Below are 16,466 nucleotides of genomic sequence, written 5' to 3' on the forward strand. Positions count from 1 at the left end.
GAATGTTGAATATTGGCCCCCACTCTCTTCTGGCTTGTAGAGTTTCTGCCGAGAGATCTGCTGTTAGTCTGATGGGCTTCCCTTTGTGGGTAACCTGACCTTTCTCTCTGGCTGCCCTTAACATTTTTTCCTTCATTTCAACTTTGGTGAATCTGACAACTATGTGTCTTGGAGTTGCTCCTCTCGAGGAGTATCTTTGTGGCATTCTCTGTATTTCCTGAATTTGAATGCTGGCCTGCCTTGCTAGGTTGGGGAAGTTCTCCTGGATAATATCCTGAAGTGTGTTTTCCAACTTGGTTCCATTCTCCCCGTCACTTTCAGGTACACCAATCAGACGTGGATTTGGTCTTTTCACATAGCCCCATATTTCTTGGAGGCTTTTTTCATTTCTTTTTGCTCTTTTTCTCTAAACTTCTCTTCTCTCTTCATTTCATTCATTTGATCTTCAATCACTGATACCCTTTCTTCCACTTGATCAAATTGGGTACTGTGTGCATGCATCACGTAGTTCTTGTGCCATGGTTTTCAACTCTATCAGGTTATGTAAGGTCTTCTTTATGCTGTTTATTCTAGTTAGCCATTCATCTAATCTATTTTCAAGGTTTTTAGCTTCTTTGTGATGGGTTTGAACATCCTCCTTTAGCTCGGAGTTTGTTATTACCGATTATCTGAAGCCTTCTTCTCTCAACTCGTCAAAGTCATTCCCCGTCCAGCTTTGTTCCATTGCTGGCGAGGAGCTGCATTCCTTTGGAGGAGAAGAGGCCCTCTGATTTCTAGAATTTTCAGCTTTTCTGCTCTGGTTTCTTCCCGTCTTTGTGGTTTTATCTACCCTTGGTCTTTGATGATGGTGACGTACAGATGGGGTTTTGGTGTGGATGTCCTTTCTGTTTGTTAGTTTTCCTTCTAACAGTCAGGACCTTTACCTGCAGGTCTGTTGGAGTTTGCTTGAAGTCCACTCCAGACCCTGTTTGCCTGGGTATCACCAGTGGAGGCTGCAGAACAGCAAATATTGCAGAACGGCAAATGTTGCTGCCTGATCCTTCCTCTGGAAGCTTCTTCTCAGAGGGGTCCCTGGCTATATGAGGTGTCAATTGGCCCCTACTGGGAGATGCCTCCCAGTTGGGCTACGCAGGGGTCAGGGACCTACTTGAGGAGGCAGTCTGTCCATTCTCAGATCTCAAACTCTGTGCTGGGAGAAAAACTACTCTCTTCAAAGCTGTCAGACAGGGACATTTAAGTCCACAAAAGTTTCTGCTGCCTTTTCTTCAGCTATTCCCTGCTTCCAGAGGTGGAGTCTACAGAGGCAGATGGGGCTCCTTGAGCTGCAGTGGGCTCCACCCAGTTTGAGCTTCTTGGCTGCTTTGTTTACCTACTCAAGCCTCAGCAATGGCAGACGCCCCTTCCCCAGCCTCGCTGCCACCTTGCAGTTTGATCTCAGACTGCTGTGCTAGCAGCGAGCGAGGCTCCATGGGCATGGGACCCTCTGAGACAGGTGTGGGATGTAATCTCCTGGTGTGCCATTTTCTCAGTTGGAAAAGCTGAAATCATCCATCTTCTGGGTTGCTCATGCTGGGAGCTGTAGACTGCAGCTGTTCCTATTCGGCCATCTTGGAACCTCCTCCTTAAAGGTGATTTTAAAGGAGGTAAACGTGTAGGATCATAATGCCACCTGAATGTGTTATCCAGTTTTTTTTATAACAAAAATAAAATATTCAAAAACTATATCAATAAATTTTACTTTAGGAATTTGATTTTTGGCATAAAATAACCTAAGACCACTAATGAAGTATGCTTTGTAAAGATACACATATTTTTTATTTCATTTACACCTGATTAATCTTGTAACTAACATATTCTGGGAATGATAGAATACAGGAGCTAACCATTCCATGTGGTAATAAACAACTTCAAAAGTGATAACAATACCAAATTTTAGAATGAGTCTGTCTTTTGGATAGACTCACACAGTCATGTCTTTCTTTATTTACTGAAAACCATAAAAAATTGCTAATTTATCATGTAGTCATTACGAAAACCTTATTTATAGTACTAGGTTAGCTGATAGGAGAAGGTAAATATAGTGTGCTTTTCTGAAGATTAAAAAATACTCCAGCCTGGGTGACAGAGCTAGACTCCATCTCAAAAACAAAAAAAAATCACATTTACTTTTGCTTGAGAATATGCATATTAAATATTTAGCATGGTAAAAGAAACTGAAATTGTGTCAATTTTTAAGTTGTTTTCTGAGTACACAGTATTTGCATATTAATTTTTACATAAAATAAATTATAACTAGCTTTAAAAAATAAAATATAATGATACATTAAGACTCCTTTAATAAGGCTTTAATTTTTGCTTATAAAATGGAAACCCAGACTATAATTCAAGTAGTCTTTCAAAGGAAGTTTTGTATCTAAATTTAAAAATTCCTATATTCTTTTCCCCATATATACAATGAATAATCTAATAAAGTATATAAAACATTTATAACCCAGTTATAAATAAAATAAATATTAGAATTTGAAAAGTGAAATTATATACTCAGAGCTACAAGCATCATAGCTTAACTCACACAGGTGTAAGTAATTTAAATAAAGAAAAGAAAAAAACACTGAATTTTTCTTTTAGATAATCCTAATCAACACAGACTTCAAATTTTCTGAGGAGACTTACATTAATCCACTCCCACACTCTGACATTCCAGTCATTACCTAGTTCTTTCAAAAAACATGTAGTCCTGGATAAAAACAAAAATACAGAAATGAATTCTCAGAAACCAAACAGAGATCAGATGCAGAAATGCTAAGGGATCTGATGAAACACAGTTAATTGTCTGTTAAATAAGAAAAATTAACTATAATAAGTAATGTGAGAAAAGTCTACAGGTATAAGTTCTCTACCTTCAGCTATCTATTTTAATAGAAATTAAATCCTATAATCCTATTTATTTATTGACACCTGCATTAATTTAATTAATCCTATGGCAATTTCTGTAAATGTCACTTTTATCCTCCTGAAATCATCCTTTTTCAATCTTTCTTATTTAATGTTTTGCAGTCCTTCTCTAGTAATATAACTCTTCTTGTAATTTGAATTCATTCCATGTACAACAAATTAAGAAAACAATTCCATTTACAGCAGCATCGAAAAATATTAAATACTAAGGAATACATTTAACCAAAAAGGCAAACATTCTGTATACTGAAAACTGTAAGACAAACTGAAAAAGGCACAAATAAATGGAAAGATATTCTGTGTTTCTGGATTAGAATAATTAATATTGCCAAGATGTCCATACTACTGAAAGGGAACTACAGATTCAATGTCATCTCTCTCAAAATACCAGTGAATTTTTCACAGATATAGAAAAAATAATCATAAAATTTGTATGGAATCACAAAAGACCCCAAATAGCCAAACAATCTTTAGCAAGAGAAACAAAGCTGGAGGCATCATACTACCTTATTTCAAAATATATTACAAAGATATAGTAATCAAAACAGCTTCGTACTTGCATAGAAAGAGACACAATGACCAATGAAACAGGAAGGAAAGCACAGAAATAAACCCAAACATTTGTAATCAATTGATTTTTGACAAAGGTACCACCACCACACAATGAGGAAAGGACAGTACCCTTAAATAATGGTGTTTTGAAGACCAAATATATATACAGAAGAATGGATTTTGACCCTCATTTCACACCATATACAAAAGTAAAATTAAAATGGATTAAAGACTTAAATGTAAAACCTATACTGTAAAACGACTAGAAGAAAATATAGGGGAAATCTCCATGATATTGGTTTGAGAAATGATTTCTTGGATATGACCTAAAAAGCACAGACAGCAAAAGCAAAAAGAGACAAAGGGAATTGCCTCAAGTTAACAAGCTTTTGCACAGCAAAGGAAGCAATAAACACAGTAAGGAGACAGCCCATGGATTGGGGGAAAATATTTGCAAACCATGTATCTGATAAGTGGCTATATCCAAAACGTATGTTGAACCCTTTTTGCTTCTCTGTGATAAATCCCACTCACTCATGATGAATTATCTTTTTGATGTATTGTTGATTTTGACTTGCTAGTATTTTGTTAAGGATTTTTGGATCAATGTTCATCAGGCATATTAACCTGTAGTTTTCTTTTTTAAATATGTCTTTGTTTGGTTTTGGTATCAGAGAAATACTGGCCTCATAGAATAAGTTTGCACGTATTCCTCCCCCCTCTATTTTTCAGTAGCTTGAGTAGGATTGGTATTCATTCTTTAAATGTTTGGTAAAATTCAGCACTGAAGCCATTGGGTCTTGGGCTTTTCTTTGCTGGGAGACTTTTTATTATGGCTTTGATCTTATTACTTATTGACTGTTCAGGTTTTAGATTTTTTCATGGTTCAGTCTCGGTAGACAATATGTGTCTAGAAATTTATCCATTTGTTTTAGGTTTTCCAACTTATTGGCATACAGTTGCTGACAGTAGTCTTTAACGATCCTTTGAATTTCTGCAGTATCAATTAAAGCGTCTCCTTTTTCATCTCTGATGTTATTTATTTGGGTCTTCTCTCTGTTTTCTTAGTTGGTCAGGCTAAAGATTTGTTGATTTGGCTTATCTTTCCAAAAAACCAATTTTTACTTGTTGATCTTTTTGTGTTTTTTTATTTCAATTTTATTTATTTATTTTTGCTCTGAACTTTATTATTTCTTTTCTTCAACTAATTTTGAGTTCAATTTGCTCTTGTTTTTCTAACACTTTAAGATTCATTGTTAGGTTATTTATTTGAACTTTTTCTACTTTTTTGATATGGGGGCTTATTGCTATAAACTTTCTTCTTAGTACTGCTTTTGCTGTATCCCATGGCTTTTGGTATGTTCTGTTTCCATTACCATTTGTTTCAATTAACCTGTTAATTTCCTTCTTGGTTTCTTCATTTACCCACTGGTAATTTAGGAGCATATTGTTTAATTTCCATGTGTTTTTATAGTTTCCAAAGTTCCTCTTGTTATTGATTTCTAGTTTTATTCCATTGTGGTCAGAGGAGATATTTAATATAATTTCATATTTTTAAAGAATCTTTAAGGCTTTTTTTGTGGCCTAACATATAGTTTATCCTTGAGAATGAGCCATATGCTAATGAGATGAATGTGTATTCTATAAACGTTGGATTAACTGTTCTGAAAATATCTATTGGGTCCATTTGGTTTATAGTGCAGATTCAATTTGATGTTTTTTTGTTGATTTTCTGTCTGGAAGATCTGTCCAATGCTGAAAAGTAGGGTGTTGAAGTCTCCAGCTGTTATTGTATTGGGGTCTATTTCTCCCTTTACCTCTAATAATATTTGCTTTCTATATCTCGGTGCTCCAGTATTGGGTGCATATATATTTACAATTGTTACATCTTCTTGCAAAATTGACCCCTGTATCATTACATAATGACTTTGTTGTCTCTTTTTACAGTTTTTGCCTTGAAATATATATTGTCTAGTGTAAGTATAGCTACTCCTGCTCTTCATTTTCCTGGAATTTTTTTCCATCTTTTTATTTTCAGTCTATGCGTGTCTTTAGAGGTGAAGTGTGTTTCTTGAGGGCAACAGGTAGGTTGCGTCTTGTTTGTTTTTTTCCATGCAATCATTCTATGTCTTTTGATTAGAGAGTTTAGTCCATTTATATTCAATGCCATTATTGATAAGTAAGGACTTACTCCTATCGTTTTGTTATTTTGTTTTCTGGTTATTTTTGTGATCTTCTCTTCCTTCTTTCCTTCCTTCCTGTCATCCTTTTAGAGAAAGGGATTTTCTCTGGTGGAGTGTTTTAATTTCTTGCTTTTGATTCTGTATGTATCTTTTCTACGTTTTTGATTTAAGATTACTCTGAGGCTGGCAGATAATATCCTACAACCCACTATTTTAAACTCATGGAAACTTAACACTGATTGCATGAACAAACAAAGAGAAAAGTAATAAAAAATCTACACTTTAATTTCATTGTCCCATTTTTAAATTTGTTGTTGTTTCTATTTATATGTTATTATACTATGTCTTTAAGAGTTGTTGCAGTTTTTATTTTTAATAGGCTCATCTTCTAGTCTTTCTACTTAGCATATGAGTAGTTTGCACACTACAATCACAGTGTTATAATATTCTGTGTTTATCTGTGTACTTACTATTACCAGTGAGTTTTGCACCTTCAGGTGATTTCTTGTTGCTCATTAACATCTGCTTTCAGATTGAAGAACTTCCTTTAGTATTTCTTGTAGGACAGGTCTGGTATTAATGAAATTCCTCAGCTTTTGTTTGCCTGGAAAATCTGTATTTCTCCTTCATGTTCAAAAGATAATTTTGTTGGATATACTATTCTATGATCAACGTTTTTTTTCCTTCAGCACTTTAAATATGCCAAGCCACTCTCTTCTGACCTGAGAAGTCTGCTGCCAGATGTATTGGATCTTGCTTTTATGTTATTTTTTTTTCTCTTGCTGCTTTTAGGATCCTTTCTTTATCATTAACATTTGGGAGTTTGAATACAAAATGCCTTCAGGTAGTTTTCTTTGGGTTAAATATGCTTGGAGTTCTATAACCTTCTTGTATTTGAATATTTATATCTTTCTCCAGGTTTGAAAAGTTCTCTGTTATTATCCCCTTGAATAAACTTTCTACCCTTGTCTCTTTCTCTACCTCCTCTTTAGGACAAATAACTCTTAGATTTGCCGTTTTGAGGCTGTTTTCTGGATCTTGCAGGCAAGCTTCATTGTTTTTTATTTTTTATTTTTGTCTCCTCTGTCTATTTTCAAATATCCTGTCTTTAAGCCCACTCATTATTTATTCTGCTCCATCAGCTCTACTGTTTAGAGACTCTGATGCATTCTTCATTACATCAATTGCATTATTCAACTCCAGAATTTCTGCTTGTTTCTTTTTAGCTATTTCAATCTATCTGTTAAAGTTATCGGATAGGATTCTGAATTCCCCCTCTGTGTTAACTTATATTTTGTTGAGTGTTCTCAAAACAACTATTTTGAATTCTCTGTCCATAAGTTCACATATCTCTGCCTCCCTGTGATTGGTCCCTGGTGCCTTATTTAGTTCATTTGGTGAGGTCATGTTTTCCTGGATGGTCTTGATGTTTGTGGATGTTAATTCATGTTTGGGCACTGAAGAGTTAGGTGTTTATTGCAGTCTTTGCAGTCTGGGCTTGTTTGTACCTGTCCTTCTTGGGAAGGCTTTCCAGGTATTCAAAAGAACTTGGGTGTTTTGATCTAAGTTTTTGGTTACTGCAGCCACATATACTTTAGTGGATACCCCAAGCCTAGTAATGCTGTGGCTCTTGGAGACTCATAGTGGTAATCCCTTGGCAGTCTTGGGTAAAATCCAGAAGCATTCCCTGCAATACCAGGCAGACTCTTGTTTTCTTCCCTGACTTTCCCCCAACAAGGAGCGTCTCTGTGCTGAGCTGCCTAGATCTGGGGGAAGGGTGACACAAAAACCCATGTGACCACCACCACTAGAACTGAACTGGGTCAGACTCAAAGCCAGCACAGCACTGGATTTGTCTAAGTCCTGCAATGACCACTATCTGGCTACCACCTATGTTCACTCAAGTCCCAAGAGCTCTACTATTGGCAAGTGTCAAATCCAGTCAGGATTGTATCCTTCCTTTCAGGGCATCAAGTTCCCTCATGGTCCTGGGTAGGTCCAGAGATACTGTCCAGGAGCCTGGGCCCAGAGTTGGGAACCTTAGGAATCTACTTGCTGCTCTATTCTGTGGCTGAGCTAGAACCCAAGTTGCAAGGAAAAAATCTTCCCATGCTTTTCTTCCACTTCCTTAAGAAAAAGTGTCTTTCTCATTGGCCACCACCACCCCAGGCCCATAATACATACTGTTTAGCTACCATTGATGTTAAATATTACCTAGCTTATACTTATGTTCACTGATGTTCACTCAAGGCCCAAGTGCTCTTCGGTCAGCTTGTGGTGAATTATGCCAGTCCTGAATATCTCCCTTCATGGCAGCGGGCTCCCCCCTGGCCCAGCACAGGTCCATAAATGCCATCCAGGAGCCACGGCCTGGAACATGGACTCTAGAGCCCACTTGATGTTCTCTCCCACTGTGGCCAAGCTGGTATACAAGCTGCAAGACAAAATCTTCTCTCCTCTTCCCTCTCCTTTCCTCAAGTAGGAGGGTTATCTCCCCATATCTGCCACAGCTGGGAATGTGCTGGGCCACACCTGAAGCAAGCATGTCTCAAGAGTTTCCCCTAATGCCCATGGCAAGTACTGCCTGGCTATCAATAGGACAGACATTAGGACCCAAGGGCTCTTTAGTCAGCAGGTGATAAATCCTAGCAGGACTGGGTCCTTCTCTTCAAGGCAGCAGGTTCCCTTCTGGCCAGCAGTGTCTTTAGAAACATTGTCTGGGTGCTAGGGCCTCGAATGGGGGCCTCAGGACTCTGTTTAGTGTCCTATTCTACTGTAGGGGGGTGGTATACAAGTTGCAAGAAAAAGACCTCTTTACTCTCTCCTCATGAAGATGGAAGGAGTCTCTACTGGAGCTGCAAGCTGTGCTGCCTGGAGTTGGGGAAGGGGTGATGCAAGCACTCCTTGGGCTGCCCTGGCTGGTGTCTCACTAGGTTATATATACCCATAAGTCCAGAGGCTCCATGTCCAGCACAGCACCGGGAGTTGCCCTGGAATTGTGGTCCTTGTGGCTTAGAGTGCCTTTCAAGTTTATTTAGAACCCCAGAGCACTTTAGCTCATGGTAGCGAGGTTTGTCAGAACTCAGGTTCTGAATGCTGGGATGGGCAATGCCCCTCTGGCTAAGGCTGGTTTATATGCTGTCTCCATGAGTGCCATGCCACTTGTTACTTTCTGTTATGACAGGGAAGCACAGAGTTCCAATGCAAAGTCCCACAATCACTGTGTTCTCCCTCCCCCAACCACACAGATTTTCTCTCTCCACCAGAAAGCCACTGCCGGGTATGGGGGAGGAGTGATTTAGGTGATTCAAGACTGTCTTTCCTACCCTCCTCAGTGCCTCTTTTTTTAATGTGATCTTTAAACTAGGTACAATGATCATTTGACTGATTTTCAGTTCTTATGAAATTGCTTTCTGTTGTGTGGACAGTTGTTCAATTTGGAATTCCTGCAATGGGGATAATTCTCAGAGCCTTCTATTCAGCCATCTTCATCAGCTTCCCCTGTTTAATCTTTATCCCATTATTTTCATTGGCATTTACTTGTTGAAGCAGCTGGGTCCTTTTTGCTGTATATTATCTGTTAAGGTTTTCTGATTATTTCACCAAATTAATGTTTAAGATCTCTATCTGGTGTGTCAAACCTTGATTGCATATTGGAATCACCTGGGAGCTTTAAACAGCTTGAAGTCTTCATCCCAACTCCAGAGATTTTGGTTTAATAAATTTGGATGGACATGAGGAGTTTGAAAGTTACCCAGGTGTTTCTACTGTGTAGCTAAGGTTGAAGACCATTTCTCTGTTTCCATAAACCTCAACTTTGGCTGCATGTTCGTATCATCTGGGGCACTACACAAACTTCTGACTCTGAGCTTCTTGTTTAGTTGAAGTGGGGAATGGCCTGATACTTGAGGGTTTTAAAAAAGTTTCTAGATAATTCTAATATAAATATACATTCAGAATCACTGCTTTACCCCATGTATTTCCTGTAAATTGATAGTTAGCTCTAGAGGCTTGATTGAATGTATACTCTTATTGCACTTTATAATCCCATGTTAGATGTTTTAATTTAATGAGTTAGGATGAAATTTCTGTGTTTCACTGAGTTTTATTCCATGTAAGACTAGCTTCACATTTTTCTCCTAATAACATATTTGATTTTTTAATAACCCTACCCCAAACCAGAGCTTCTCCTTAGCATATAAAGTTATTCTCTTGCCATTTGAAAGTGTGTAGACTCTTCAGACATAAACTAACCACCTATAAATCCAGAGTATCAGAATCAAATAGAATTTCAGTGCGGGGATTAAATGAGAACATTTTATAAAACCTTTACACTTTAAATGGTAATCTTAAAATGTATAATTTATTGAAGTATTTCAGAATGATTCTAGAGAAGCCATCTGTCACCAAGATTAGCAGGAATAGACTTACAATGAGGAAACAGGCACCAATCATCACGGCTTTCATTTTAACATCAAGGTCTCTAGGGAATTGGATTCCAAAGTTGTCAGCATCAGTAAATGCCTCTCTTAAAAACCCAGACCAGTGCTTAGAAATCCTGCCAACCACAATTTGTTCATCAAGAGATGTAATCTAAATTGCAAAAAAAAAAAAAACTTAAAAATTTCTAGAAAACTTATAGCAAAATTACTTTTAACACTGGAGTAAAAGGAAGGAAATATTATAGTACATTTATGCACCATACATGAGTATACAGTTAATATGTTATATTAGATGCATATAGGCTCCTGTATATTTATAGATACATAAAAAACTGTTCTATTGTGTAGGAAACTTACATAAAAGTAGTTTTACGAAATTTTTAACATTTTCTACTTTATATTAAGATAGACATTAATATATGTTTTATTTATTTGAATTTAACCCAAACAAAATTTAAGCAGAAAAGGATATAAATTTGAAGTATTTCTTTGATATAATTTCTAGAAGCCATCAGGAAGGAAACAAATGAAACTCCTATTAGACTTCTGCTTTTTAGAGGTGCACAGGGAGTTTACACAGCTGAATGTTTAAATATGAAGAGAGGCCTCACTACCACCCACTGTCAGTAGGAAAACATAAAATGCTAAGAGCCTAGAAAAGAAGACTGACAGTTTGAGTGAAGAAAAGCAACCAGTAAGTAACTTGATGGGATGCCTCAAGTCAAGGGTGTGGGCAAGACCAGCTAACTAGTGGGGTGTGAAGAATAAAAAAAGAATAGGTAGACAAGATCTCCAATGTAAAACTTTTCTATTTTTGTGAAAAAAAATAAAGGTTGTAAAAATTCTGCTGAGGAAAACTGAGGGTCATTATATAGCATTGAAAAGTGTGTGCTCAGACAAAAACACCTCACCAGATGGGCAGGTAGTGGCGGAATATAACTAACATTCACCAAACTACATGTTAAGAGTTATGTCAACCCAAGTCAGGAATGTCATTTTCAAATTTGAACACAGGATCAGAAATATAAATAATGACCTACATATACAGGTCACATGTGTCAGCAACACCCTTTGAAGCCATTGCCTCTGGTTGTGACCATCTAGATAAATGTAGGGAAACTGAAAACATTTGATTCATTTTAGAGTGTTGGTGAAAAGGTTCTTTTTAAAAAGTGAAATAAATGTCTAATATAAAACTGTGATTGCTATGGATTATTCTTCATCAAATATTCATTTCATTTTTCCTCCCATTGTAGTCTGAAGCATTTTCCTATTTCTTCATAATTAGGCTTTGCCTTGTGGCTTGTTTGACCAATGGAATATTAGCAGCTGTAACATGGGCAGTGATCTTACATATGGGTAAGTGGTTTGCTCTGACTCTTGGTCTCAGGTAAATAGCTACTAGAAAAGCATCGTCTAGGTAGCCTCTGCTGCTACATATCCAGAGTGAACATATATCATCTAAGCATTTGAGACTATTAATGAGAACTTTATATTTTTATTTTAAAAATCATTCAAATTTTGAAATATTTACAAAATAAAAAATGCTGAAGGTAACTTACTAGCTACCATAAACCTACTACTAGACTTAACAAATATTTCTCCATTTTGATGGCTATAGCAAGAAATTAAAAAATTCACCAAATTTATGCAAGAAGTAGAAAATAAAATTTTAATGGAGGATCAGAAATATAAATAATGACATGCATATACAGATCATTATAAAGTCTAGATAATTTTTATAAAAAAAATTTATAAAGTATAGATAATTTTAGCTAAATTCTATATAACATTTTAAAAACAAAACAAAAAAATATGGTAAAATTACTTCAACCTCTGGAAATAATACGTTGGTATTTACAACATCATAAGAAGTATACATTAAGTTTTCTTTTTTTTTTTTTTTTTTTTTTTTGAGACGAAGTCTTGCTCTTGTCCCCCAGGCTGGAGTGCAACGGCGCGATCTCCGCTCACTGCAACCTCCTGTTCCCGGGTTCAAGGGATTCTCTTGCCTTAGCTTCCCGAGTAGCTGGGATTACAGGCGCCTGCCACCACGCCTGGCTAATTTTTGTATTTTTAGTAGAGACGGGGTTTCACCATGTTGGCCAGGCTGGTCTCGAAATCCTGACTTCAGGTGATCCGCCCGCCTCGGCCTCCCAAAGTGCTGGGATTACATAAGCCACCGTGCCCGGCCTACATTAAGTTTTTATCCCTGCTTCCTGACACAGAATTTCTAAAATGCTCATAACTTTCTAAGTGATAGGGGTAATAGGAGAGTCTTGTTTTAATATTTGGTCTTTGTCCCAGATTGCTGGCACGCAGCTTCAAAATCCTTAGACTCTTCTAAGCAATAAATCTTTTATATACTAAGATGACTGGTGGTTGGTGGTTGGGGTGCCTGATAGCTTCAGTATCAGGCTGGACACCAGAAAAACCAAGCAATGCTTAGAGGATTGAATCATTCAGTCCTGTCCCCATCCTCCGGAGATGAGAGTAAGGCCAGAGTTTGAGTTATTCACCAATAGCCAGTGGTTTAAATCAGTCATGCCTACATAATGCAACTTCCTAAGAACTCTAAACAACAGGTTCAAAGGCTTTCTGGATTGGTGAACTCACTTGCCATGAAGGTGGCTTACCCCAGTTCCACAGGGACAGATCCCCCTTTGCTCAGAACTCTTCCAGAATTCATCTACTAACCTCTTCATCTGGCTATCCATCTGTATCCTTTATAATAAATCAGTAAACATAAATAAAATATGTTCCTAAATTTTGTAAGTAGTTTTAACAAATTGTCAAACCCATGGAGGAGGTTGTGTGAATCCTGCTTTATAGCTAGTTGGTTAGACGTACAGGAGGTCTTGCATTTGTGGTTGGAATTTGAAATTGGGAACAGTTTTGTGGGACTGAGACCTTAAACTGTGGTGTCTGCATTATCTACAGGTGAGTGAGTGTCAGAATTGAACTGAGTTGTAGGGAACCCAGTTGATGTCTGTAGAGAAGGAGAATTGGTTGACATGGAGAAAAAATATCCACACATTTGGTATCAGAAGTATGAGTAAAAAAAAAGAATTGTAGTGTATTATATTAGCATGAAATTTATAAATCTGTAAATTTAATACTAATAATTGGTAAAGATAGTCTAAAAAACTAAATATTTATTTGCAGTGTAAATATAAATGCAAAAAATGCAAATAGGCCACTAGCACATAGAACCTAGGTAAACATCAAAAGAATATATTAAAATAATGTGTAAGATACTAGAGGAGCACTATATAATTCAAAACATATAATTTATGAATGGTTACTGAAAAGGTATTTTTAAATTACAAACTCAGCATTTGTATAAAATTTGCTATATGCATTATTTTCCTGCATTCTCTAATCGTATGACTATTAGTTACTCTTAGAATCTGGTGTCTGCAGACATAGAGAATTGAAGAGCTACTGAATGAAATCTAAATTTTTAGTATTAAGAATGTTTCACAATTTTTTAGTGATTTACTCATTTCTTAGGAATAAATTATATTCCAATTAGACTTTTATTAATATCATTCCTAGAAGGAGAAATAATCTTTCACTTGTCTGGATTTTTATGGGCATGAAAAGAAAACTATTATTATACATATCCCTACATAAAGTTCCTATACATACATATTACACACTCACATACCCACACACCCATATATACCCACACACATGTGTATATATCCAATGCATATTATCATATATTTTATATACACATATATAATCATATATTTCATATACATATATATGTATCCCTTTATAAGAGCATTTTAAAGGTCTCTACAACACATGTGTTTTCTTAGAATTTCCCATCTCTGTCATCAGATTATAAAGTTGAAAAGGGGAAGCATTCATTTTTATATAACCAAATTCTAATAGAGAAATTAAAAATCATATTATTAGAGAAGGAAGGATGCAACAGAATGAAACTGGATAGTGCTAAACCTTAGGAAGATGTGGGGACACTGTCAGAGTTCCCACATTTTATCATAAGTGAGGTAGCCCTACTCAACTTTAGGATTTTTATTCCTCATTTTGTGGAATTGTTGGCCCAGTTTACTAAATTTTCTGATTTTCCAAGAGAATCAGGAAATCAAGATTAAGTTATAAAACCTTCTGATGGTTAAACATTTGCAACTAAATGATTTGATTATAAGGCTAGGCTATCTGTTGGAGAACTGCTGTAATGAAATTTCTGCAGGAATTAAATATAGAGACATATGGTGGTTTCCAATGACCTAATTTAATACAGGGTTAAAGAAGAGACCACAGAGAAGTATAATTGGGTAATACATATTACACTGACTTTCTCAAAACTATCTTTGCCAAATTGGGCTTTCTGTAGGAACTCAAAGATGTCAGAACTTCTGGACATGGCCTGGAGCACTGGCAGCCTATATTTTAGATTAAGGAAGGATCCATATGCTTTGGCAATCAGACTTAGATGACAAGGTTAAAGTTTTCTTTATAATGGATAATATATAGTGTCACCACACAGAACCCAACATGTTTAAGTGTTAGATGATTTGCTTATTTTTATTTGACTACAGAGCTCTGCTTCTCTTTTATCCATTTATCATTATCAATATTGACCTTTAGTCAGTAATAACCTCCACTCTGACCAAAGTTAAATATATGGGAACATTATCTTGCTATTGAGACATCAGTACACAATACTAATTTAAGGCATTCATAATATTCTGCAAAATTATATTCTTCTATTAAAAAAGCAAATCCTATAAACATTATGACATCTCTTACCTCAAAATCAACACCCGCAATACAGCTGCACACGATACATGGACCACTAATTTTTAGTACATCCTCTCTTTTCTGATTTTTAATTGTAAACTTTGTTAGACATGGGTGCCAGGTCTGAGTAACATAACCTACTGGTACACCAGGAGGAGCTTGGATTTCTATCTACAAAAGTAAAATATGTGTGAACGTAATAAATCATCATAATAAAAATATCTAATAATAGCTCTAATTTACTGAGCATTTCCTAAGTGCCAGACATTGTAAGTGAGGACTTCCTAGGACTTTTTTTTTAAAGATTGAATAAGGTAAAGTATTTTAATGTGCTAGTCAAATTATAGAGCATTTCCCATCAAACTGTCAGTTTTTCCTCAGTTATTCTTACAAATATATAATTATACCTAACCTAAATGGCATGGAAAACAAAGCAATTCATTATAAATAACTTCAGTTATCCTCTCAAAATAAGTGCAGTATTAGACTTTAAATAACTCTATGCCTTTATCTCTATCTGTATGATGTTCTCACAGCAATCTGTATGGAAGACTAAGTTACCCAGGCAGATATGGTGTTGCGCCAATGGGATCCTGGAAAAGGCCAACTTTCCTAAAACATCTCTGAACCCTACTGTCTTCTCTGAAATCATATTTTCTAGGAGTAGGCTGCCATGCAATATGAAACAGAGACATCTGGTCTCTACAGATATCCATTTAGGATATCCCTTTTGCAGATGACATAGATATGTACGTTTTTATTTTGAAAAGGAGAAATGAAAAACAAAGGAGATAAGACTTTGTTCTAGGTTTGTCCCTTACTAGGTTGGCCAAAATTATGAGATGAATACATCTGTTCTTTCCTTCATTCTTTTGTCCCCATGATCCTAGAATGCTATTTTAGGATATTTTCAATGGTGCAACTCTGCTGATTTCGACCATGCCTCTTACAGTCATCTCTAAAAAATGATTTGAAAAAGGTGCCCTGTCTGACCTTTCCTTTAATATCAAGAACTCTCATTTCTGAGCAGTTGCTCAACCCCATGAGGCAGACTGCTGCGGGACACGAGGCTAACTATTCCCTGTTGTTTACTTGCCTTCCTTCTTATACAATTGATTTGGAAGCCCAAACATATAGCTCATGGAGCCATATTCATTTAAATTTCATTTGATTATACAGATTCAATAAAAGGGTGGAAATCCTTGCTGAACTACTTTATGAAAAGCTCTAGTAATTGCTCACATACCTCCTGAAGGCAGCAGGGGCAACAACAACAGTTACATCTTAGTGGTCTTTCCAGAGTTATGACTTCTCGACCCACATTATCAGTAATCCTCAAGGTAAAAGGTCTAGACCGCCCACAGCAATTTCGGATACAGAAATTAGTATCTTCTGCTGCAAAATAAATCCTCTGCCCAAAGCTGTTCTTGATTTCATACATGTTACTACTTTCAAAACTGAATAGAACTAAAAATGAAAATAAAATCAGTTGCCTTTACGTTAAAATGATTGAACCTATCTTAAGATATTATATCTAGCTAGTTTTAGATGATGCTCC

General features: G+C 36.3%; 1 protein-coding gene across 32 annotated transcripts in view; it reads right to left on the bottom strand.

Annotated features, from left to right (window-relative positions):
• The window catches only part of PLSCR2 (phospholipid scramblase 2), a 104,572-nt gene that overhangs the window by 47,665 nt on the left and 40,441 nt on the right, over positions 1–16,466 (bottom strand). For 29 of the 32 annotated variants that reach the window (XR_002959563.2, XR_002959564.2, XR_002959561.2 and 26 more), the window contains 4 exons: positions 16,155–16,375; positions 14,918–15,079; positions 10,122–10,283; positions 2,674–2,737 (listed from right to left, as the gene is read on the bottom strand). The exons of 1 other annotated variant lie outside the window; for it this stretch is intronic. Coding sequence is in view for 21 of the 31 variants with exons in the window: in XM_017006903.3 (XP_016862392.2) it covers positions 2,708–2,737; positions 10,122–10,283; positions 14,918–15,079; positions 16,155–16,375 (575 nt within the window). In the remaining 10 variants the exon portion in view is untranslated. The remainder of the gene's footprint in view (positions 1–2,673; positions 2,738–10,121; positions 10,284–14,917; positions 15,080–16,154; positions 16,376–16,466) is intronic. 2 more of the 32 variants (NR_172561.1, NR_172560.1) reach the window with 2 other exon arrangements.

Source organism: Homo sapiens, chromosome 3 (genome assembly GCF_000001405.40).
Source record: "Homo sapiens chromosome 3, GRCh38.p14 Primary Assembly".
NCBI classification, from domain to species: Eukaryota; Metazoa; Chordata; class Mammalia; order Primates; family Hominidae; genus Homo; species Homo sapiens.